Source organism: Homo sapiens, chromosome 12 (assembly GCF_000001405.40).
Source record: "Homo sapiens chromosome 12, GRCh38.p14 Primary Assembly".
NCBI lineage: Eukaryota > Metazoa > Chordata > Mammalia > Primates > Hominidae > Homo > Homo sapiens.
The window spans coordinates 81,663,425-81,690,589 of NC_000012.12; the positions used below are offsets into that span (position 1 = coordinate 81,663,425).

General features: G+C 34.7%; 1 protein-coding gene across 41 annotated transcripts in view; it reads right to left on the reverse strand.

The window, feature by feature from the left end:
- PPFIA2 (PPFI scaffold protein A2) overlaps nt 1–27,165 on the reverse strand; it is a 501,376-nt gene that overhangs the window by 405,450 nt on the left and 68,761 nt on the right. For 35 of the 41 annotated variants that reach the window (XM_024449242.2, XM_017020107.3, XM_024449240.2 and 32 more), the window contains one exon: nt 13,367–13,420. The exons of the other annotated variants lie outside the window; for them this stretch is intronic. In XM_024449242.2, the coding sequence (XP_024305010.1) occupies nt 13,367–13,420 (54 nt within the window). The remainder of the gene's footprint in view (nt 1–13,366; nt 13,421–27,165) is intronic. 41 annotated transcript variants of the gene reach the window in all.

Below are 27,165 nucleotides of genomic sequence, written 5' to 3' on the forward strand. Positions count from 1 at the left end.
AACTCCCATTCACAATTGCTTCAAAGATAATAAAATACCTAGGAATCCAACTTACAATGGATGGAAGGACCTCTTCAAGGAGAACTACAAACCACTGCTCAACGAAATAAAAGAGGATACAAACAAATGGAAGAACATTCCATGCTCATGGATAGGAAGAATCAATATCATGAAAATGGCCATACTGCCCAAGGGAATTTATAGATTCAATGCCATTCCCATCAAGCTACCAATGACTTTCTTCACAGAATTGGAAAAAACCACTTTAAAGTTCATATGGAACCAAAAAAGAGCCCACATTGCCAAGTCAATCCTAAGCCAAAAGAACAAAGCTGGAGGCATCACACTACCTGACTTCAAACTATACTACAAGGCTACAGTAACCAAAACAGCATGGTACTGGTACCAAAACAGAGATATAGACCAATGGAACAGAATAGAGCCCTCAGAAATAATGCCACACATCTACAACCATCTGATGTTTGACAAACCTGACAAAAACAAGAAATGGGGAAAGGATTCCCTATTTAATAAATGGTGCTGGGAAAGCTGACTAACCATACTTAGAAAGCTGAAACTGGATCCCTTCCTTACACCTTATACAAAAATAAATTCAACATGGATTAAAGACTTAAATGTTAGACCTAAAACCATAAAAACCCTAGAAGAAAACCTAGGCAATACCATTCAGGACACAGGCATGGGCAAGGACTTCATGTCTAAAACACCAAAAGCAATGGCAAAAGAAGCCAAAATTGGCAAATGGGATCTAATTAAACTAAAGAGCTTCTGCACAGCAAAAGAAACTACCATCAGAGTGAACAGGCAACCTACAGAATGGGAGAAAATTTTTGCAATCTACTCATCTGACAAAGGGCTAATATCCAGAATCTACAAAGAACTCAAACAAATTTACAAGAAAAAAACAAAAAACCCCATCAAAAAGTGGGCAAAGGATATGAACAGACACTTCTCAAAAGAAGACATTTATGCAGCCAAAAGACACATGAAAAAATGCTCATCACTGGCCATCAGAGAAATGCAAATCAAAACCACAATAAGATACCATCTCACACCAGTTAGAATGGTGATCATTAAAAAGTCAGGAAACAACAGGTGCTGGAGAGGATGTGGAGAAATAGGAACACTTTTACACTGTTGGTGGGACTGTAAACTAGTTCAACCATTGTGGAAGTCACTGTGGCGATTCCTCAGGGATCTAGAACTAGAAATACTGTTTGACCCAGCCATCCCATTACTGGGTACATACCCAAAGGATTATAAATCATGCTGCTATAAAGACACATGCACATGCATGTTTATTGCAGCACTATTCACAATAGCAAAGACTTGGAACCAACCCGAATGTCCAACAATGATAGACTGGATTAAGAAAATGTGGCACATATACACCATGGAATACTATGCAGCCATAAAAAAGGATGAGTTAATGTCCTTTGTAGGGACATGGATGAAGCTGGAAACCATCATTCTCAGCAAACTATCACAAGGACAAAAAACCAAACACCACATGTTCTCACTCATAGGTGGGAATTGAACAATGAGAACACATGGACACAGGAAGGGGAACATCACACACCGGGGCCTGTTGTCGGGTGGGGGCAGGGGGGAGGGATAGCATTAGGAGATATACCTAATGTAAATGATGAGTTAATGGGTACAGCACACCAACATGGCACATGTATACATATGTAACAAACCTGCACGTTGTGCACATGTACCCTAAAACTTCAAGTGTAATAAAAATAAACGTGAAAAAAATTTACGGTACATCAAAAGGAAGACTCTTTTTCTAACCCAGAGTTGTTTCATTACTCAGAGCTTCTCAAATAATTTGACAGATACAGCAAAAAATTATTTCTAAAATGTTTTCTATCACATTAATCATCAGAATGATTAAACAATATGTTAAGATATTTCCAAAATGCTTCCCACATTTGTAACACGTAACACTCAGTGTTAGCATAAACTTAACTTTTAGGTCTTTCAGGTGTTAGTCTGAAAGTTCCTATTTCTTTGCTCACTTCTATATTTAACATAATTTAAATTTTTGATTATGGAAAACTACATTTGCATGTGCCCTCTAAGTAGTTTGATTGTGTTGAAATATAGATGCTTAAGTAGTTCTATATCATAGCAGTTACAGTGGTAAACATTTAGAGAGGACTTGCGTTTGCCAGGCAGGTTTGGAGCACTCTACATTGCTGGCTCATTAAATAGAACCATCTTGTAAAAGATCCTGTTTTCATCATAATCACATGGTTTAAGAAATAGAGGCAGACCAAAAGCAATGGCAACAAAAGCCAAAATTGACAAATGGGATCTAATTAAACTAAAGAGCTTCTGCACAGCAAAAGAAACTACCATCAGAGTGAACAGGCAACCTACAGAATGGGAGAAAATTTTTGCAATCTACTCATCTGACAAAGGGCTAATATCCAGAATCTACAAAGAACTCAAACAAATTTACAAGAAAAAAACAACCCCATCAACAAGTGGGCGAAGGATATGAACAGACACTTCTCAAAAGAAGACATTTATGCAGCCAAAAAACACATGAAAAAATGCTCATCATCACTGGCCATCAGAGAAATGCAAATCAAAACCACAATGAGATACCATCTCACACCAGTTAGAATGGTGATCATTAAAAAGTCAGGAAACAACAGGTGCTGGAGAGGATGTGGAGAAATAGGAACACTTCTACACTGTTGGTGGGACTGTAAACTAGTTCAACCATTGTGGAATTCAGTGTGGCGATTCCTCAAGGATCTAGAACTAGAAATACTGTTTGACCCAGCCATCCCATTATTGGGTATATACCCAAAGGATTATAAATCATGCTGCTATAAAGACACATGCACATGCATGTTTATTGCAGCACTATTCACAATAGCAAAGACTTGGAACCAACCCAAATATCCAACAATGATAGACTGGATTAAGAAAATGTGGCACATATACACCATGGAATATTATGCAGCCATAAAAAATGATGAGTTCATGTCCTTTGTAGGGACACGGATGAAGCTGGAAACCATCATTCTCAGCAAACTATCACAAGGACAAAAAACCAAACACCACATGTTCTCACTCATAGGTGGGAATTGAATAATGAGAACACATGGACACAGGAAGGGGAACATCACACACCGGGGCCTGTTGTGGGGTGGAGAGAGTGGGGAGGGATAGCATTTGGAGATATACCTAATGTTAATTGACGAGTTACTGGGTGCAGCACACCAGCATGGCACATGTATACATATGTAACTAACCTGCACGTTGTGCACACGTACCCTAAAACTTAAAGTATAATAAAAAATAAAAAAAAGAAAAAGAAATAGAGGCACAAAGAAGAAAGTAAATTTGCTCAAGGTTACAAACAGCTATCAAGAGGTTGAGTCAAAAATCAAATTGAGGCTGACTTTCCAGAGTCCACACTCTACACCACTACATCTTATGCTATTTTGCAAGGATTACAAGAAATTGAAATCAAAGGTTTATATAAAATATGGTTTGCACACAATATTGTATACTTTCTATAATTTTATTAACTTTTAATAAATTGTAGTCTGAACTGACTCTATGTGTACACTTGACACTAATTATTTTGGAAACTTTCCTAGCAGTTACCCTTTATCATCTTTGGGGCATATACAAAATGTTAACCATTCTACATCACCAAGCTTCTCCAGCATGTTTATCCTAGTGTTCTGTGCTTTTTCTCTTTTACCTACTTTCCACTATATCTTCCCCTCAGACTTTTCACTGTGCCTTTGAAACCTCTATTTTACATAAAACAATCTTTCCTATTTTATCACTTTGTTGAAGGAGCCCATCATCACTTTACCTCAACGAAAATAGATTTAAATGGCTTCATAGGTTGCACCAATAGGATGCTTTTCCAAATTCCTCAGCTCACTTAACTTCAGAAAGCAGTGTTAGCACCTTTCTTGAAAACCATTAGAATTTCCAACCCATTACTCCTCCATTCTAAAGTAGAACCATCTCTACTTTGGTGCTCACACCATCTGACTATTCCTCCTGTTACTCCTCCCCATCATTAATAACTAAAAATGGCATGGTCTTTTTAACATGTAAATGAAGTTAGTTAATGAAATGACTTCAATTCAAACAAGCAACTACAATCAAGTAACAGATCCCAAATAAATAATACCTTCATCTTTCATCAATCTTGTTATTAAACAGGCTTTGTCATATATTCCCTCTACATGTCTGGACTTCAGCTTGAGCAGATTCATAACTTTCCAGTCACTTAGAGTTACAGGAATAAATCTCATTGTGGATATCCAGACCATTTTCAAGTTCAGAATATCCAGTACAGCCCACCACCAAAATTTAAGTTACTTATTTAACAGAGAACTTTTCTGATCACCCCACCTTGAACTACTAGAAAAGAGGAAGATGATCCACTTTTTCACCTGCATTCTATCTGCTTCATAGGTCTTTCTTCTAGGTTGGGGCAGGGATATGAAAGTGGGTTACAGGAAAAAAAGCAAAGTTTTATAAGACTGGTGACTTCTATGTTCCAGGTGCCAAAATACTGGACTTCTAAATTGGGACTCATTAGAGGATTCTTTGGAGGTCCTCCCATGGGGACATCCCATGCTACACAGATCATTGACATAGGCAATTGCTATTTGCTTTCTGACTAACCATTTGCCTCCTGCCACCACCTCACATTTCAGTTTATATTCTTGGCAAAACAGCTGACATCCTATTAATTCTTAATACTGGATCCCATTGCCCTAGCAGGCAGTCATCATATAAAGGGTTCTATTATCCTTCTACTTCATCAGTCTGGCCCATGGGAAGCTCATGTACCTTTGACACACCAAATTCTTGTTGTAAAGACCACTCTTACTGCTATTCTTTCTCACTGGCCTAATTTAGGTTAGCTTAACCAGACTTCTACCTCCCAAATTTACTGGAGAAGAAACAAACATCTGATTCAGTGGTCTTGCATGTCCGCAAACTCCAAGGAATGCACATTAATTTATTTCTTCTCTTACCTTACATCTAACCCATGGAAGTACTTGATATATTGCTGAAAAAATATCAAAATACGAAAATACCACTGCTTCTTTCTATGAGTCATTGCTTTGGGTCCACCCTCATTTGGCTAAGGAGAAGCACACACTTCCCTCCACAGAGTAAAAACCCTGCAGTACTCCCTACCAGCTGACAGCTCTCTGCTAATGAGTCATCTGGTCTTCTCTAAGAGAGAATAATAGTGGTGATTCATAGTGGCAGGACTGATGCTGCCATTATTACAAGTCTGTGGTGAATATGTCTAACACTTCTCCAAAGAATGTGGGGATACTTATCATCAATGGCACTATGTTTTGGGGTTTTAAAGATAACTATGATTCAACAATGGAAACCTCATTTCACATTTTTTAACTCCTGCATTTTTTGAAGTTTTCAATTACTGGTTCACACTATTACAATCTGAGACCTGTTATCATCATCATTCTTGTTTAATTTATGTTTATTAAATACTTATTGAAGGCATACTATGTGCCAGCGTTGGTGGTCCAGCATTAAACCAGACAGAAATTTCTGCTCTCATAAGGTTTCTATTCCAATGATGTTAAACAATGTAACTAAGACATACGGCATTCTAAATTTGTCCCTTTGATTTTCTCTACTGTTATTTCTTCCAGTGGTCAACATTTAAAGGTTTCCCTGGGTCCTATTTCTTTCCCTACCATAAAATTCTATTAATACTGATTTTGTAAGTTTTTTTTCATTTGCTATTGTCATTTTTACTACCACTACTATAGTCTGAAGTTCACCTTTGTAATTTTATTCCAGAATTATTATAATACCCTCAATCTCCTTTTTCCATGCAGTATGCTGCTAGAGTTATCATTGTGAGCACACAAATATGTCCATGTAAATCGTGTGCTCATTAACATCTGTTCTAATTCATTCATTCAACCAATAGTTATTGAGGAACTCATATGCCAAGTATTATAAATCTTTATTCTATAATAGTGAAAGAAAGAGACAAGGCTTGTAACTATGTAAAGTTTATATTCTAGTAGAAAAATATAAACAATCATCCTATAGGATCAGAAAAAATAATATTGAGTGTTCACGGAAAACTCTGTTAAAGTGACAATAAAACAAAGACCTAAAGAAAGTGAGGCAGTAAGCCATGAGGATATCTGAGGGGACAGCATGGCACAAAGAAGGAAAAATGACAAGCGTATTGTCCCTTACCAGTAATAAACTTGTCTGGGTAAAGGGGACAGCAATGGCTAGTGCAGCCTAAGTGGATAAGCTATGGAGAAAAAGGTAGAAGGTGAGTTCCTAGAATCATCGTAAGGGAAGGAAGTAATGAAGAGTCTCAGAAACCACTCCATGAGCTTTGGGAATTTTATTGTGATGGGAAGCTAACATAGCTTTAAGGCTAAATGTAACATATTGCAATTTACATTTCATAAAACCTGTCCTTGGTTCATAGAGACTGGACAGATGAGAAAGAATGGTGGCTTTAAACACAGTGGTAGTTTTGGAGGATTCTAAATAAATTGTGAAGACAAAGCCGAATTATGACTTTAAGTGTTTGGCTTTTGAGAAGGGTAGCATGAAGTAGCCCTTAACTGAGAGGGGAAAATAGCAGGAGGTTTGTAAGAGTGATAGAGGGAATCAGAAGTTCAATTTTTAACTTGTTATGTTTTAAATTCCTATCAGATATACAAGTGGACATGTCAAATGTTTAGTCATATACACAAATCTGAAGTTCAAGGGAGTGATCTAACCTGGAAATATAAATTTTTCAGTTATTATTATTTAAGTAGAACTTATGCTGTGAAATAGATTGGGCCATCAAGGGCCTGAATGTAGATAGAAAACATTGCAGGGCCCACAAAAATGATTCATCCAACACTGTGGCCTCCCGGTTCCTTAATATCATCAATTCCAATTAGCCTCAGTCCCTCTTTATTTCATCACCCATGTCTATGACCACAATCTGGAATTTACTAGTACCTGGAAATATTTTGGTTCTGAAATGCTTAAACCAAGCACACAGGTAATGACAAAACACACTCAAATCTTATCTCCTTAAAATAATTGTGCCTCAATCCCATCTCCTCTATTGGCTATTGCTTCCTCTGACTTCCTGCATAACCAAGCTCTTAAAATAGTTCTCTACAGTCACTGAATACAGTTGTTAGTCTTCCATTTAATCTCTCAGGCCCCTGGAAACTTGATTTTACCTAAATTACTCTACTACAATTACTCTCACCAAGATAATTTCTTCTTGTTAAATACAATGAACATAGTTTGTGAACTCTCAACATCATGAAACTGCTAATAACCCTCTTGCCATCCTCTCTTTAACTTGGCATTAATGATTCTCACATTTCTGGTATCCCATCCTTGGACCCATCTCTGTTTTGTCTTTTTTGAGGCACATTCTTCCTCTGACCTTTACTTAAGTGCTTTTCTTTCTCAGGCTTTATTCTGAACTCTCTCATCTTATAACTCTATATACATGTTTTTTGGGAGGATGATGTCATCAACTCCAATAGCTTTAATTAAGTCTTCTACATGTCCAAATAAATAGCTTTAAATGAGACCTCACCTTTAAATTTCCAAATCATTCATATATTCCCAACTCAGCTCAACTTAACATGTCTAAAACTGAATCCCTCATTTCCCCCTTGAAAATGCTCTATCTCGTTGGTTTCTTGTCACGATGAATGGTACCTTCATCCACTCAATTGCCAAACCAGAAAGTTCCAATATCAGCCTTGACTTCTCAATAGGCCTCAGTCTGCTTCCAAACAACCACCTATTCTTGTATGTTCACCATGTTCTCAGTATCTCATGAGTCAATCCATTCTTCTCCATTCTTGTTGTCACCTTACAGGCTTTTATTAACCATCTAATTTTTTTAAAAAATAATGTCAAGTTTCTCCTGTGATATTGCCCTCAGTTATTGTTATAATCTAGGGAGACAGACAAAAAAAAAGTCACCATGATCATTTTCATCACTATCCTTTGGAAGAAAGACTGCAAGTCTTTTCATAGGTCTCTTTGCTTTAGTCTTTTCTCTAATTCGCTCTCCAACTGGTAACAAGAAAATGTTTCTAAAGGGAAGATCTCGTTGACTCTTCTGTTTAAAGACTTCAATGCTTCCCTTTGGTCTTTAGTATAAAGTACAAATTCCTTCCATGTAATTTATCATATTCTTGCCCAGGCTTAACTTTCTAGCCTTCTATCTCACCTTTATCTGCCATGCCCAGGTTATTTTATACTTTACTACATGACGTTATTTTCTCATTTTTTACTTATGCAGATGCTGTTTCCTCTGCTGAATATACCATGGTCCCCCCATCACTTGGCGAACTTCAATTCATTCTACAATTGGCAAGAAATAAATTATTATTTTCTATTTGCCTTGCTTGTTTCTCCAGCCCCTTTCTATTCCCATCAATTGCATTATGTGATACTCTTACTTGCTTTCATCTCATCTTGTGCTTACATGATATTATAATTGGTTTTTGCCAAACTGTTCATTCAAGTATATTGTAAGATTCTGAAATGAGTAACTGTGTATTGATTATCAGTGTCTCCAAAACCTAACCAAATGCTATAGTACAGCCTAGCACATAGTGTACACTCAAATATATATTGAATTTGAAATAAACAAATAGGAAAATGAAAGGAAATAATATAACAATATAAGGTTGAAATACAACAATATAAGGTTGAAATAATTTAAATTAGGACACGATTCAGATTAATATTATTTTATTATCTTATCTGTTGAAGTAAATGAGTAGAACATTGTCACTTTTGAATAATCAAATTAAAATCAGTTTTGTAGATTTTTAAACTCTAAGACCATTTACAATTTAAAATATATATAATTTGGTCTAAACAGCACACTCAGAAAATTGAAATTGTTTTAAATTCTGTGGTGTGTTTATCTAAATTGCTAAGGACCATCAGGAAGACAATTAAAATGAGAACAGAAAGTACAATTCTGTTTCCTCAGTGGGGAAAAAAAACCTAATAGAGCTTAAGAATGTTCAGGACAGTGTGCATATCAAGCCCAAGGATATGAATTAGATGGGTAATCACTTATTCATCACACTCTAGAAATAAAGAGAACCATTAGCATTTAGGAAAAAAACTAAACTTAGAACATTTAAAAGTATTAAGTTCTATAGGGAGCAAAATGTATAGATCTTATTATTCCAAAGAAATAAATAGAAAGAAAACAAGGAAGAAACTGAATACCTTCAGTGGTATTCTTGCTATAATTACTATATGAGGCAATGAAGTAGATTTAATTTAAATCCTGATAATAACATTTTGTAACATACAATGAAACATCTTCACATTTGACCAATGTATGTTACAACGAAACATGCTCTGGAATGTCTCATGTAGTCTCTTTATTAGATTTTTGTCAATATCAGCCCTTAAAAAACATCAGAAATAATAAGAAAGTAAATAGCTACATAACAATCAAAATATTTTCCTAAACCAAATTGCAAAGAGAAACACCTTTCATTGTGTATATACAGACTCTGCTTGAGTCTGTTATCACTAAACTTAACTCGTATGGCCAAGCTGATCCACTAAATCCTACCTGTTGACTTACACCTAGTCCACAGTCTACAGACAATTCTGGCACCAGGGCAGGGGTTGTCTTAAAAATTACACCTCTCTCCTACTGGCTCATGGGTTCAACACAAGAAGGGATCCTTCACACTGCTGGTTACACACTGACCTGCACAACTACAGCTCTCCAGATAGCAGGTTCATGCTTTACAGATACATAACAGAGTTCATGCATTGCACCCCAGTACTTCAGTATTCAAAGTCCTCTTGGCCATAGGTACCAGACATGGATATACTTTACCCTGGCCTTGCCAGGGGTTGGCTGACAATGTGGGGCACTTTGATTCTTTACAGTTCCCAAGTTTTTTACATTTTAATATTGCTCATATTTAAAACATAAAACACTATGACAAAGTGGTATATTTACAAAGCACTATTTAATTTAATAACGAATTTTGCACTTTCAATTTTGATTATCTAGTTTCTTTTCCTTTGTACTTCTATGTAAATATAAATTCTATGCTCTTATGCTGGAGGTTAATCTGTGATCAAATTTTTATGAATGGAAACATATGCCAAATATAGAATATCTTTTGATATAATTTTCAAAGACAGCTTTAAGTTAATATTTAACAGATACTATTTTTTTCTCCAATGATAAAAGCATTTATTTTCTAAAATAATTATGTGATTTGGAAAAATCTGCAAGTTGTGTTTGCTGCTACAATTAATTTACAGTTTCTGAATTAAAATCCTTTTCAGAAACAGGCCATTTGTAAAATTTTGAATCACCCTTGAAAATCATGAATGAGTGATTTTCTTTTTCTTTATTAACATTAAAACTGAGAATTTTCAATAAAATCTATTGAATTTTCAATAAAATCTATTTAACACTTATTGTTAAAAATATTAATACAAAATTCTCCTAGAGTTCTCAAATTTATTCTTACCAGATATGCAAATTTACTTATAATGACATTTGCAAATTTGACACAACCTTCTATATATGCCTTACCATTTGAAATAACAAACTTCACTCTTTTTTCTAATGCTTCAGAAATAACATTTATGTGTACCCACAGCAAAATTTGCAATTTTAAACATACCATTAACATTTCAATATACCTCTGAGATTTCTATTACACTGGCAAAGAAATTACTTGACAGCTATGCATCCTTATGAGAGATCATTCACTCAATACTTGATGTATTCTGTTCAATAAATGAAAAAATATAAGACTTTGAATTTCTTACCAATGAAAACATCATCATAGAATGGTTTCTAGAAAAAGCATAGCTTTTGAAGTAGACAATAGTATTTTGATGATCTATTAAAATGACATTTTTTAGAGAAAGGAAAAAATACACTTTGGGAGGCCAAGGCAGGCAGATCACTTGAAGTCAGGAGTTCAAGACCAGCCTGACCAACACGGTGAAACCCTGTATCTACTAGAAATACAAAAATTAGTTGGGCATGCTGGCGCATGCCTGTGATCTCAGCTACTCGCTAGGCTGAAGCAGGAGAACCCTTTGAACCCAAAAGGCAGAGGCTGCAGTGAGATCAGGCTACTGCACTCCCATCTGGGTGACAGACAGAACAAGACTCCGTCTCAAAAAAATTTTTTTTTAATTTTAAAAAGGAGAAAATTATTTTAAAAACTTGAAATTGATTTAGATTATGTATAATTTAATCTGACTTTCAGTTTTCTAACTTGGAGGCAAAAACAATAGCTTCATTCATTGCTTTATTCTTAAATAATGGAAGTAACCCTAGATACTATTGGGCTAAATACCTAGATACCTTAGATACTTAGGGCTAAAGAAAATGACTGTTACATAGCTCCCGGCAGTATGTTCTAGATAGCTCCTTAACAATGGGAGACACTAAATTAATGTGTACTACTGAACCCCTAGATTAGCTAAGCCCTTATGCACTCTGAAATGTTCATAATGTTTTCCACTCTACAAAATGTTATAAAATAAGCACAATCATTGAAACTTCAGAAAACGTAAGTATAAAATAACCATCATGGTATAGCACAGCCAAGAAAGAACTATCCTCTTCACAATATTATAAGTTGTTTTAAAAGAAAAAAATCTATCTATCTAAGTATACATATATAGATTGATATACTATACACACATACACACACACACACACACACACATATATATATAGAGAGAGAGAGATAAAGTTGTATAACTCATGCCTATTCACTTTTATTTATTGGGAATGACATTGATGTCGTTTGCCTTCAGGATACCATTTTTCCTTTCTGTGACCTTTATTTTCTCCCTGCAAAAGGATTTTTTCAACAACTAGGCCACATACCCATTCAATCTTTCATGTTTAGAAACATGCTTTCTTAGAGGGTATGACAAACTAACTTATTTTAACATGTAAATAATGGATAAGATCTTTATCAGTACTTAGCAGAAGACAGATATTTTATTTTGCTTTGAACAAGAGACAAATCCTTTGAAACCAACTAATCTCTAACTGTAGAATTCTTCCAGGAATCAGTGAACAGTTGAGGGAAGTATTTTGAAGGTAGTAGATCTACTTTTCTGATGTAAGTTGAATTCTATGGGCAAGCACTGTGCAAGGCAGAAGGGTAAAATTACATCACATAAGCACTCACCTGAAATACTTAGGTAAAAGACTGGCCATTAATCCTGTCAATATACTTTCTGGGTTGACTTACATTTCATCTTGCCTTACATTGTAATGTAATAGGTCTAGGGGATAAATACAAGCAGCTGTCTGCAGCCAATACATTTTTCCACATAAATACTTATGATAAAAATAAAAAGAAGGAAAAGAACTATAATACATTTTTTAGCCATACTTTAGGAGCAACTTGATGAAAATTAGATAACACCGTGAGACATATCTGAGTGAGAAAGAGCTAGAACAGAAAGTTATCTCTCTAACAACTCACTGGTGTTTTAATGGAGTTAAAGTACTTCACCTACATGCCTATGTGAAGAACAGCTAAAAAGTGATAACACTGAGTTCTGTATGTTCCACATTAAATTTCATTTTGCTAAACAAAAAGCAAGTAATGACAAAAATGTATGCATTGACTATTTGTTGATATAAGTTGAATCTGTCTTATTACTTTAGATATACTTTGAATTTATTTTGGATCTCAAGCATGAAGTCATAGGGATGTCATCTCTATCAGTGTTTTCTGAAATCTGACATCACAGAAAGGACTAAGATGTTCCAATAATAGAACATCAAGCTTTTGTTGCTGCTTGTAAATTATAATTCATAGAAACTTTAGAACACTTTATAAACTTTAATTTCCTGGAAGCTTCCTGAATTAAGTAGAAAAGAACAATGTCCAGAGTCAATACTATTTATCACATGGACATAATTTTTCTCAGTAACTAGAAAATATATTGCAACCCAAATACTATACTCATATTTAGAAAAACAAACTCTCCAGTTAGTAGAACATAAATTACTGAGATATTCTAATAAAGATTTTATTCCTATTTTTAAAGCCAATAAATTGAGATAAATTTTTATGAGTTGTTAAAACTTTTTAATAAAAACACCAGCCCACACCTCAAAGCAATTTCATACTTCTGTTATTAGTTTCTATAATAGCTGTATTTATAAAAAGTACCTGCATATGACAAATAATATACAAGCAATCAACTGATAATCTGGTGTGTACACAATTCAATTCATCAATAGTTAAATTTAATGAAGAATCTAACTTACCGGTGGATCAGCCCCCTTAGAACCAGCCAGCCCTCCTGTTAGGGATTCGATATCCTGAAAAGGGGAGAGGTGTTGATTGTAAAGTGCTACTCAACAGCATGAAGAATCCCCCAGTCCCACAGTGTAATAATTTATTTAGCTGCAAAGTTAGGGCATGTCAGCTATTTTATTATTTTTTTGCAATCTTGGACACTGTAGTACTATACAAATAGTCTACATCTAAACATCTAGATATTCTCTCCAACTCTGGAAGTCTATAAAAAGAAAAACATGTAAACAGATTTTTTTAAATATGCAGAAGTTTCATCTTTGAAGAGCTGAAGTGAGAGCAGAAAAAAGAAAATTTAAGAAAACTTCAGTTTAACGTACTATTTTGAAAAATATTAAACCCATGGAAAATGTTTAACCTAAAAATATTTAATTTTTTTTTATTTTTTATGAATACATAATAGTTGTACATATTTATGACATATGATATTTTGATGTAAGTATTTGATGTGTAATAATCAAATTTAAGTCCATCACCTCAAACATTTATCATTTCATTGTTTTGGAAACGTTCCAAATATGCTCTTCTGGCTATCATGAAATATACAGTAAATTATTGTTAACAACAGTCGCCCTATTGTGCTACTGAACATTATATCTTATTCATTTTATCTAACTGTAGATAAAAATATTAACCAAATCTTCTTTTTTCACCACCTCCCAACTAGCCTTCCCAGTCTGTGGTAACCACCATTCTATTCACTACCTCCATGAGATCATTTTTTTTTATAGCTCTTACATATGAGTAAGAACAGGTGACATTTATCTTTTTGTGCCTGGCTGATTTTACCTAATATTCTCCAGGATCATCCATGCTGTTGCAAATTTTAAAAATTATAACTATGGTCTACTCTATTTCTACACATAGAGTATAAAAATATAAAGAGATCGATTTTTAACCTTTAATAGGTAACCACAGAAGGTCATGCTTGAGTAATGACTATAGTTGTTAAATTTATAAATGGGGAAATAGGAAATGGTGTGATAAGCTGTAGAGGCTGTGACCTGTTTATAGGGACAACTACAACTCAGCCCTATCAGTTCTAAGGCTTTGGTTCCAGGGTTACTAATGATTATATGACTTATTCAAAAGAAGTTGCAATTCTAGGTTTTAAAGTAAAATCACCCAGGTTTTTAGTGTTTGCAACTGATTTAAGTTGTAAACCGTCCCTCATCCCTCCCAAATGAAAAAAACACAACTCTCTGCTAAAAGGCTGCTGGAAAGGAGTTTTGGGTTAAATCGAATGGTTACACTTCTTGGCTAAAAATGTTCTTTCTTATGACTCTGATCACCTCTTATCTGTTTGCATCTAGTTGGAAAGACAGGGATGAAGAGGGGGGAATATAGTTGCATTAAGAAAGCAAAAAAGAAGGATAATTAAGTCCCAATTGAAGTAATGGAAATTTAAATGCCTATGATGAGGAAAAAGGCCAATATTTTGATATAATTAAGAGGACTTATGCTACTAATTCACTTAGGACTTAATCAGATGATTTTCCCCTTATATTGAAAAAGGGAGGACTCTTAATAATACATTATGGGGCTGGGATGAGCATGTGATGGAAACGTTCAAGGAAGGGGACAGGGAAGGATGGTGTTATAACTGTTTCTATCTGAAATGCTAACTGTGAAAAGGAACATAATGGGTAATGAATTTATTCATGCATAGTCTATTAAAGGTCACAAATGACAAGGAGTACTTACCAAGAAAATTATTAAATGGTCTCCTTTCTAATGGAAATGTATATATATTTTTTCTCTACCCAGAATCCTTTTGAGAAACTACTCCTTCCCCTCTCCCATTCTAGCTACAAAAGAGGCTAACAAAAATTGCTTCAAATATTGTAGGGACCTGCCAGAGAATTAAGGCAATATAGAATCTGAAAAACATAATGGTAGAGTTTAAGTCCTTGATTGTATCATTTGAGGAATGTTTGAAATGAGATGTTCTCTCTGCCTGCAATTCAGCTTAAAATAGATTTCTGGCTCTGAAAAGTAAAAATATCCTAATTATATCGGCATTTTTTGGGTCTGTTTGTAAAAGGCCCACCCTCTCCATCCTGTTCAAATGCTTTATTCCAACATCATGCCCAACATAAAAAAAATCAACTCATCTAAATTATCTGATCTTACATGTTCTTTAGCATTCTTATTGTCACTTAAGTAAATTTTGTCTTTGTATAATTAAAACAAAGCATCAAACACATGTATAAATTGACAAGGAATATTAATATCCTTATCAAATCCAAAGATAAAACATAACTTAAAATTGTCTTAAAATCTCATGGAATGAACAACATTAGGTAGTAAAATGACTAAAATATTAGATTTACAGAAAATAAAACACACAGCTTGCACTGTTTGATAATATTCTGCTATGACCATACTGAAAAGTTTCTGTTCATGTAAAATGTTATTTCCAATTATACTTAAAATGAAAAAAAGATACCAAGTGCATTTGGAGTTAATACATGTCTTTCTTTGTAGAAAGGCATATAAGTTATATTAATGATATAAATTTTAATGAAGCTATCAGAGGGATAATAGAGAAACTGATGTGGATAACAAGTATTTTAGCAATTTAGTCAATGCATTTTCTCATATTTTGTAAAGTTTGATCATTAAGATTTCTTATCTAAGTAAGTTGTGCCAAGTTTCAGATTTTTAAAATTTTAAGCTCTTTGTGATTATCATGTCTTGAGAAAAAATGAGAAAGAAGAATGTAGAAGATGAATGAAAAGGGCAATAAATTTTGTAGTTTTTAACACATTGAATTCAAAATCAATTACGAATTCATGGCTCTAAATAGTATACAGATGTATATTCTTATCTCTAAATGGGTAAGTTGTAAATTGAATGTAAATCATTCAATTGTAAAAAAATGTTTGAGTTCATGTTCTATTTTGAGTGTAAGTTGAAAAGGAGTGTCCTACTTGGAGAGAGGTCCAAGTTAAACACGGCTTATCAGTTCATGCAAAAGGAATTTTCTCAGGTGTGCATAATGAACATAAGTGTGCATGGATACATTTATGTTGTAAAATAATAGATAAAACAAATACTTGAGGAACTCTGGACATATGATTACTACATAGCTTTCAAATGATAACTAAAAGTGAGTCAATATTTTTGATGGTTGTTGAATATTTTATCTGCAAAGTATAAGTAAAATCTTTGGCAAATGTGTCTATTTTCTTATTTCAATATATTTTATATAGATAACAACAAAAGGGGACATCAAATAGTATAAACATTGACTTCCTAGAAAGTTTTTTGACTTACTATTGTAAAAATATTATTTGTTTAATTAAAACACTCAAAACATCATTTTATTTTTAACTAGGCTACAGAATTTATTTAACCATATTGCATACCATATTGAGGTCATCATTTGTATCTAATAGATAATAAAATAGCTACTACTCAGTGAACAGTTGCTATGTGCCAGGTACTTTTATAAGTGCTTTGTAGACATTAATGCCATAATAAACTTATGTTAGTTAATTATTTTCTCACTTAAAAGGTTAGATAGTTTACATGACTCATACAGTATCATAGAGCTATTAAGAAATGGGTTATAAAACATATACATAGGACTCCAAACCTGTATTTTTTTAATTACCAGTCCTAGTGAACAGTTTCACCCTGGTACCCTGGTGACACTGCACATATCTATGTTGGCGATGCAGGTAAGGCTAAACCACAGGCTGGTAAATCTTGATGGAATATCCCGTGACTCTCCCAGAACATGACAAAGGAGGCAGTCTTATGAGGAGCTTTTACATAGCTATTTCTTATTTGCCTCCCTCACACTAGTGAGGCATGGGACTTCCCACACCTCACACCTCCCTACACCAGGTCCATCTTCAGGATATCAAACTACTTAGGTGCAGTATGGAATTGGCTCCTACCTAACAATACAGCCCACTTCTCTTGTTGCCTATCATTTGACCCATCCAGTTCAGTGTTGTCCAGTGGAAATTGGGACCAGGGTCAGAATTAGAGCAGGTAAGTGAGGTGCCTATAGTGCAAAATTTAAGTAGGTGCTGGTTCTTAGGGTCATACAACTGCTGACCTGCACTTGTATAATCTTGATAGTGAGCACCTTATTAAATTTTGTGCCCTAAGCACCTCACTTGTCTCATCTGAATCCTGGCCTTTCTAGGGACCTGAGGAGCTGAAACAATGGTAGCCTTCTTTATGCTGACTGTGTAAGTAACAAACATAAAACCATTTGGATTCATCGTCTCCTTATCACTCGAATCTGTAGAAGTGTAGCAAGCACCTACGCCATGTGGTTGCTCAGGGACTGCATGCTGCTTCACACTGGTATCCTCAATCATATGAATTTTTATCATCAATGCTGAATGAAATAAACTAGTATGTATTAATTATATAAGAAACTTCATTTCTTAAACATCATTTCAGATAATGAAAGCTTCATTTTCCTCTCCAAGGTGTGAAAAACCTAAGTGGGGTTATTAGCCAGTCCTTAACACAGCTGTGCAGATTCAGTTTTTCAACACTGGAAAGTTCTGTTCCTGGCATGAAAACCCAGTAAACCAAGGATGGCCAGTGAATCAGAAGTCTTAAAGCTTGGGAAGGTTGAGCTCCAGGAAGAGTGAGGTGATCAGTGTCAGAGCTCTAAGTAGAGTGAGACTTAGGGCATTCTCAGACTTGAGGAGTCTACATTGCACTGCATTTGTAATAGTGGTTGTTCGCCTGCACCTTTGCTCCCTGGCCTCCTGCTTCAAGAATTGGCATATTTTTCCCTTGACAAACACTTTGAATGATGGAGCTATAGGGATTAATAATGTGGCTCTCAGTGTAAGCCATCAAGTTCAGATACTGTAAGTCTTGCTTCCTTTGTGTGCAAGTGAAAAAAAAAAAGGATATTAGGATTTCAGGTCTTTCTCAGAGCTGTTGCTGGATTCTTATTTTTATCCCTGAAGAGCAGGATCAGCCAATTATGTTAAAGAAAAATATGATAAAATAATTTGGCTATCGAATACAGTAAGAATGAACAAATAAAATTCTAAAGAGTTAGTTGACTCTCGCATCGCATATCCCACAAGACCCAAGAGATCTTCAAACCTGAGAGTTATATTTAAAGTTAATATCAGGTTTTAAGCTTTCACTTGTTCAAAAAGTCACTTAATGTAATATGAAAATACTTAAAACATTATAATAATTGTCAATTATGGGCATTTTAAAATTTCAGATTTATGCATTGTTATGGGTTAAATTATGTTCCCTGAAAATTCAGATGTTGAAATCTTAACCCTCAGTACCTAAGAATGTAACTGTGTTTGAATGTAAGGTCTTTAATGAGGTGATTAAGAAGATTGATCCAATATGACTGGTTGTCCTTATAAGAAGCGGAAGAGATAGCAGGGATGTGTGCACACTGAGCAAAGGCCATATGAGAACACAAGAAGAAGGCAGCAATTTCTAAGCCATGGAGAGCACCCTCAGAAGAAATAAAATCTGCAAACACCTTCATCTTGGAATTCTAGCCCCAGAACTGTGAGAAAATACATTTATATTGTTTAAGTCACTCAGTCTGTGGTATTTTGTTACAGGAGCCCTAGAAAACTAATGCATGCATATTTGTAATTTGGGACTAGTTTTTAGATTCTTTGGGAAAAGTTAACATATTTCAATATAGAGTACATAAGAGTTCATTAAGCAGTCTATAAAAAAAGTCAGTATCAGTGGAATCAATGTGAAATAGTAAAATGACCATTTCTGTCAAATGGTTATATTTAAAATTATTTCAAGTCTTTAAAATATTTAATGAAGTATTATGTATATGTTAAAACTTGACAAAATTTATTGTATTCAAAATATTGAAATTAAGCATTTCTCTCATCTCCTTTATAGAAAAATTTCTCAAAATTCCCCTCTCCCACTACTTTCTGTTGACATGCCCTATTGTGCCCACCACATCACTGCAACTCCTCTTATCAAGGTTGCCAATGACATCCTATCGTTCAAATTTAATTTTTCATGTTCTGTCATCATATTTCTTGATCGCTAAGCTTCAGTCGACACAGCTGACTACTCCATCTTTATTGAAATACTTTTCCCTTTTGGCTTTCATTTATTTTCACCCGCTACATGATTTTATTTAGTACTGTGGCTCTAAATATAATGCATGTTGATAAATTTTGAATTTCTATCTTCAGCTTCAACTTATCCTCTGAGATCCATACTGCTACTTCAATCTCCACTTAGATGTATTATAGCCATGTAAAATGCAATAATGCAAAATTAAACTCTTGATTCCATCACAACTCTTCCCTTAAATTAGGTTCCCATCCCAGTGATTGCCATCTTATTAAATGACATCACCATTCACCCAGTTGCTCAGGTCCAAATCCATCAGCAAACCCCACTAAGTCTATTGTAAAAATACTACTTGAATTTGACTACATCTCATTACCTTCATTCCTGTCATCCTAATCCCTTGTACTATATCAATAATATCTATCACATAAACTGAAAAAAATAATATATATATATATATAGCTTTCTAACTGTTGTCCATGAATTTGTTATCTCCCTCTCCCCTATATATTCTCCACATAGTAGCCCAACTATCCATTTAAATTTTAAGTTAGATCACATTGCTGTCTTGACCAAAACCCTAAATGGTTTCCCAGCAATCTTAAAACAAAACACAAACTTATTGCTATGCTCTGCCATGCCCTGTATGATTTGGCTCTTGGCTATCTCTCTGACTATATCTTTTGCCGTTCTCCCTCTGTCCTGCCTTCTCAGACACAATGGCGTCCTTATTATTCCAAAAAATATTCAAAATTTGGCTTGTATCTCAAGGCCTTTGCCCATGCTTTTCCTGCTTCTTAGGGTGCTTATTTCTAGATGTCCTCATCCATTTTGTGTTGCTATAAAGGATGACCTGAGGCTCGGTAATAAAAATTAAATAAAGAAAAAAAAGGTTTATTTGGTGCAGAATTCTGAGGCCAGAAAGTTCAAGATTGGACTTCTGCATCTGAGCAGGGCCTTAGGCTGCCCCCACCTATGGCAGAAGGCCAAGGGGAGCCAGCTGTGTGAAAGAGTGAGGAGGTGCCAGGCTCTTTGTAACAACCAGCTCTCATGGGAACTAATAAAGAGAGAACCCACTCACCCCCAAGGGAGGGCATTAATCTATTCATGAGGGATCTGTCCCATGACCCAAACACCTCATAGTAGGTACCATTTCCAACATTAGGTGTCAAATTTCAACATGAGGTTTGAAGGGGACAAACATTAAAACCATAGCAGTAGATATCCTCCTATTTAACTCACCCACTTCATTCAGGTCTTAGCATACCAAAATTCTGAATCACCTTCCAAAACTAATTATCTAAATCAGTCAAGGTTCCACCTGAACAAACTGACAAACTCGGAGACTATACAGAAGAACATTTAATAAAGGTATGATTTATAGAGGTATGGATAGTTTACAGGGTCCAGAGAAATGGTGGTACATGGGGACTAGCAACAGCTAGACATTGCAACCACCCTTAAACCTAAAGAAGGTGCAAGAACAATGTAGTCAAGAGTCCAGCAAGAGGTGAATACCTATCATCAGCCTATAGAACAGCTTGCCACACAGTGGAGACTCAATAACTACTTATTGAATAATACAATTATTGAATGAATGATGTGATACTATTTTTACATATATAAAAAGCTGAATCTCAGAGTACATATGGTGAAGTGTGTCTTATTTTTGTATAACTGTATCACTTTGAAAGCATGGCTGAAAGCAATAATGTTTGCACAATAAATCTTTATAAAATGCCTGAGTGAATAAACTAATAAATGACTTGCCCCAAATCACACAGCTGGTGAATGCTTGAAAGAAGCTTTGAAATCCCAAGTGTTATAACTCCAAGCCCAGCATATTTTCTGTTCCATCATATATCACTAATGAGACATCCTCCTGAAAGAAAAACTCCTCAACTCTGTATTTTCTCATCTCTTGAGGTACTAAGTTTCTATATATTACATGGTTTCTAGTGCATCAGAAGGAAAAATGCAAAATTATTTAATAGTCAATAAACAATACATTAAATTCATCCTCTGGTTAAATACTGCCAATGCTTCCAATTAAAGGTCTGACACCTTAATCATTGTACAATCAATAAATCAATGCTTGAAAATTTGACCTAACATGTATGTCTGGCATTAATAAATGGTTCAAATATGTTAAACTAAAAATCAATAATGTTTATTTTTATGTAACATCTCATAGTGTGTTGGTTCACAGCACTGGGAATAAGTAATAGAAGATAAAATTTATTTTAAACAAATCATTCACTTTTTCACACAAGGCTTAATGGAAACAACCTTTCATCACCGAATACCAGCTCCTTAAGGCAAGCATCCAAATAATGAAGCTGAGTTTGTTAATGAGGCATCTTCCTCCTCAACCAGACTTAAGCAGTTAGTGTTTCCTTGACAACATTATAGGGTAAATTTCCTGGGAGGCATAGAATAAGCAGGAAACATACAGACCAATTTTATAAATTTTTCCTATGTAAGCCAAAAGGTGTCCTTTTTAATTATTCTTTAAAACAAAAAAAGGGGAAATATCTCTTTCTTTACTTTGAGTATAGGCCAGCCTGAATCTGAATTTTCCTTAAGCCACACAATTAATTCCTTCAAAAAAGAGCAGTTGAGCAAATTTTGTGGCTGAGGCACTGTACTCTTCATGGGAGGACACAATGAGGAGTAAATCAAGGTCACAGGTTTCATAGTATTCAGAGTCATGACATGCTCTCTGACTTTAAGGATTTTTCAGTCCAAAAGCACATAAATCTGCAGAACAACATGAGGAAGAATTTTGAGAAATGTGGTGTTAAAATTATAACAGACAGGGGTTGTGGTGTTAAATTTTATAGTGTGACAATTAGTTTGGGTATTTCATATTGCCAGATTGTACTTTATTTTTGAATGCATATTGGGTAAGTGTCTCCAGGAACTGGTTGAGTAACATAATAATTAACATTTATTAAGCATTTACTGAAACACACACCATGCTAAGAGCTCTACTGCCGCATTAGGTAACATCGTAACTCTCTTAGCCATTATTATTTCCACCATTTCAAGATGATGAAACTGGGTCTTTCAGAGTTTAAATGACTTAACAAAGGTCACACAGCCAATAAGTATTCAAACCAAAGAGGCTGATTCCAGAGGCAATGATTTTTAACAATGATGCTCTCTTGAATGAATTGAGGTATGAGAAAAGAGTAGGGAGAACTTCTTGGCATGCATATGGTGACTTGGAAAAAAACATAAATACTTATTCACTATCTGAAGAAGAAATGCAACAAATTGCAGGCAGAATAATTCTGAGGTGGCTGATATCCTCTGATGGGAGGATGATTATCCTTGATTGACCTGTAAATGTAAGAGCTGAGAACATCAGATTTAGCCAAAAAGTAAAATTCCCAAAATCTTGGCTATATATTTCTAATTTCAAAGTCTTCTACCTGAATTCAAACCTAACTAGGAAATATAATGTGTATCAAAGGCACAAGTGTTTCAATAGTGCATAAGAATAGGGCTTTCTGAAGAAAGTGCCAGAGATTCAGGTTCTACATTTTCCACTTCATAAATTTTGTGTGTCGCTTTTTCTTGTCCATTCCTTTCCATATGGCTGAGGCGATAAAGGGAATGTTTTGCTAATTCCTGACTCAGTCTCAATCAATTTCTGTTTTCCAACTTTTCCACACTGATGCATCCTTGCTATCTCAAACTCACTATATCCAAATAAGACATCATCTTCTTTATCAGCCATTGCCATGGCCAACCGCCAATTTCCTATTCCTGTTGATGTTTTCAATAAGCAGTTAGTTATCCAGTCTAGGTTTATGGATGTTAATAGAGTTTTCCCTTACTCTGGTATGCATATTCCAATCCAGTCTAGTTTTCCTTGTAAATATCTGCTTAGTTGATTGCCTTCTTTCATTTACCATTGCATTTACCAGCTTAGTTCAAAACCTCATTTTATTTTCCCCTGACCCCTGGCTTTTTCCAAAACAGTGTCTTTGTTGAGTTCCTTTTTCCACTCTCACTTTCATATCATCTTTTCTTCCAACCAGTTCCCAAAGTGTGGCCTGAGGACCACCACCAGCAGCAGCAGCAACATCACCTAGGAACTCATAAGACATGCAATTTCTTGGGCCCTACCTGAATTCGGCTGCATCTGAAACTGTTTAACACACCCTCCAAGTGAGTCTGATGCAGGCTAAGGTTGGAGAACCACTACCCCAGAGTGATGTATTTTAAATGCAAATATAGACAGGTTACTTCTGTACTCAAAATACTTAAGTAAGGTCCCCATTCCCAGGAAGGAAAGATAATCAAACCTCTGTACATGTGGTTTTCCATTGTCATCATACATTTCTGAACTACTTTTTTCACTTCACCTTTTACCACTTTCCAAAAAAGAAACCCTGCACTCTTATCATAATGAATCCTGCACTTCCTTATTGTGACAAGTGTTTTCTTTTATGTTTCTGCACCACGGATTCTTATGTCTAGAAAGCCACCCCTACCTTGTGGGTGAATGTAATTCATCCTTTGAAACTCAGTCTAGGCACCATCTCCTCTGGGGAGGCTTTCCTGAGTCCCTCAGACCGAAGGGAGGGTTCTACTCTAGCACAACAGAGGTACTGTCCCAAGAAACTTTGCCTGAGGGGTAGTCAACAGCTCTCCAATTTTACTTCAAGCCTGCAAAATGTAAGACACATGCAAAAATAGACAGCTTAGTGATCCAGAGAACAGGTTCAAGCCTGGCTTTACTACCTACTATCTGTGTGACCTTAGGCTAATTGCTTTATGTTCTTTACAGAAAATAAATCAATCTATGTCCTAGTACACAAATTAGAAAGGTTTGGAATATTTATTATAATAATTAATATTAATTTTAATAATTCATGGAAAGCTACCTATTGATAACTTACAGTAAACAATATTAATTATTATTATTCATGTAATAATACATAGGTACAGTCTAGTTACACATGTGTAAAATAAAGATAGGCTATGGATACAGATTACATAAAGATATATGTTAAAACAGATAAGCATTAGAATACATGTAAATAAGACCCAAATATAGACTAATCTTAGGTATAAATCTCCATTAGATTTCTAGAGATTATTTTGCCTGAAAGGGAAGGAAACCTAAGATTCATTTTATTTCCCCACATAGTCTTACAACTTTTATGCATTTCTATGGCTTTGGTTATTAAACATTTTTCACCAGTCATATTAAAGCATATTATTTTCATTCTTCCTAATAAAAAAATGAGTAATCTTTTTGCTGTACATTAAAAACTATGTATTGGGTAACATGTATACCATAAACCCATACAAATTTATTCCTCTTTAAATGTGTTATTTGATATCACAGGTTTATATACCATGATGTGGGAAGCTTTAAGTAGGTTAGAAATGTGCTATAGCCACTGAGAAGAAGAATTCAACATTTAAATGAGAATATCAATATTATAATCCTAGATACACATAATTTATGGGAGACTCACTTTTGTTTGATGGATCGGAGGCTCAATTACTGTAATTCTAATTTATAATTAAGTCTTCAATTACATGATGCTTAGATCTTCTCCTATCTGACACAAAATGCAAACAAATAACTAGAAAAATATAATACCACATAATTTAATTTTAAAAATCAGGTTTTATTTTCAACTCAGTAAATAGTAGCCTAAAATACTGGCTTAAAAAAAAAAAACTTGGAGATTAGCCTATCGGAAGTGATTTTTGTAAGAGGGAAGAATAAAATACTGTCTTTTCCAACTGTTAATAACTGCAGTTCCTCTGACTGTGGTACCTTAAGGCAATTTATCAGTCTGATTCATAAATAACCACAAGGCAGAATTTTTTGTGAACTGAAAGCAAAAACAGGGCAAGTGGTTTATTAAATATATATATATATATATATATCTGCTTTTAAAATAGATACTTCTAATAATAGATATTTCTAATACATATTTATTTAACCGTATCTCTCCCTTACTGGAATTTAGGTATTAAGCCAATTAATATAAACAGTTTCAAGGTAATCATAATAAGCTGGCAAGAAAACAGATGATCTATATTCAAATTCAAGTTCACACTTCTAGAAAAAATTGGCATAGGATTTTCAGCTGAATATTAAGTATTTTATGGTCATATATTAATTTTGGAAGTAATAGCCTTGGAGGAATTAGATAGAGCTAGGGGGAGAGATGAGATCTTAAATTTAAAAAAAAACAGCAATTAGCAACACTATCCAAAATCAGATATGCAAAATTTGTGAAAGGAAGTCTAATTTGGAACCTAAGAAACATGCAGAAAAATTCCCTTTGCATTGCTGTTTTCTTTGGGAAAGAAATTCACCAAGTTCTAAATCATAATAAGTTAATTTCAAATTTATTTTTTATTTTTTAGTTCAGTTTTTGAAATAAGTGATGATCATAATGTTAACAAGAAATAGCAAAAGAACATATGATTTATCTATTTTTCTTCTGGGCAGCTCCATTTCAATTGATGCTACCAGGATTCTATTATGAATAAATGTTTATAATACCAAATAATACTATTGAATGGAAATGTAACTGACTGATATCAGAGCATAAAATGCATTGATGTTATGTTATTCAAGTAATTGAGACTATAGCATAATGTAGGAGTTGTAGAGCACAGCATAGAGCTGGAGATTTAGAGTCGATCATAGAACATTCTATAGTCATTAAATGTTCTACAGACAGTCTTGTTCTCCTTTTCATCCACTCAAGCTCCCCCTCCCCAAAATACAACTAAAATAAAGCTTTAAAGTTTATAATATTCTTTCATTTACTGGGATCAATTTAGAATATTTTATATCCTTATCTCTCCTTTCCTTAATATTTCTAGGACATATTTTTCATTACTTATACTTCCTCCCAAATGTAACTGACAGCATTCAAATGAGCCACACCACCAGGTAAGAATTTCAAAGTGCATACAATGCTAAGTTCCTTGGGGTTAGTGCAGTGGCAAAGTCTGGATATTTCTTTTGTTTGAGAGCAATCAAAACAGACGATACAGACAGTCCTTACTTGGCACAGTACAGTGTTAACTGTCTTTACCTTGCATGGCTCCATGAAATCAGTTACTATAAAGCAGGGACATGGCTCCCCTGGTTCTGGTATGTACTGGTTTCAGTAAACACAGTACAGTACCACTCAAAGCAAGAATATAGTGGCATTTTAATGGCAGATAAATCTTCATCCCTTTGCCTCCAGCATACCTTAAACTGGATTGTGAATCTTGAATGCATAGTGCAGTGGCTATGTAACACAATATTAAAATTGGAATCTTTCTCAATTTTAGCTTTGGTCCAAAGGCCAAAAATAATGTGGTGATGACCAGTATTTCCATATCCTTAAGCAAGGAGCTACATCAAGCCATGTGAAAATATTGTAAAACAGATTCTGCCAGAATTGATAAACATTGTCTCTTAATGAGAGCATTATTGGCAAATTAGGCAGGAAATTTCTTCATGGAAAGTATACTGAATTTGAATTTCAGGATTTTTCGCATCTTTACACTTAGGCACCAAAGTCTATTCCTGTCTCACTCCTCACCCTCCCACTCCTCCTCCCCCAACACACAGAGGTGACTATTCCTGAGGACCAGATTTGAGCTGCAGAGTGGGCAGTGCATCTTAAAGTGCTTGACCTAAGAG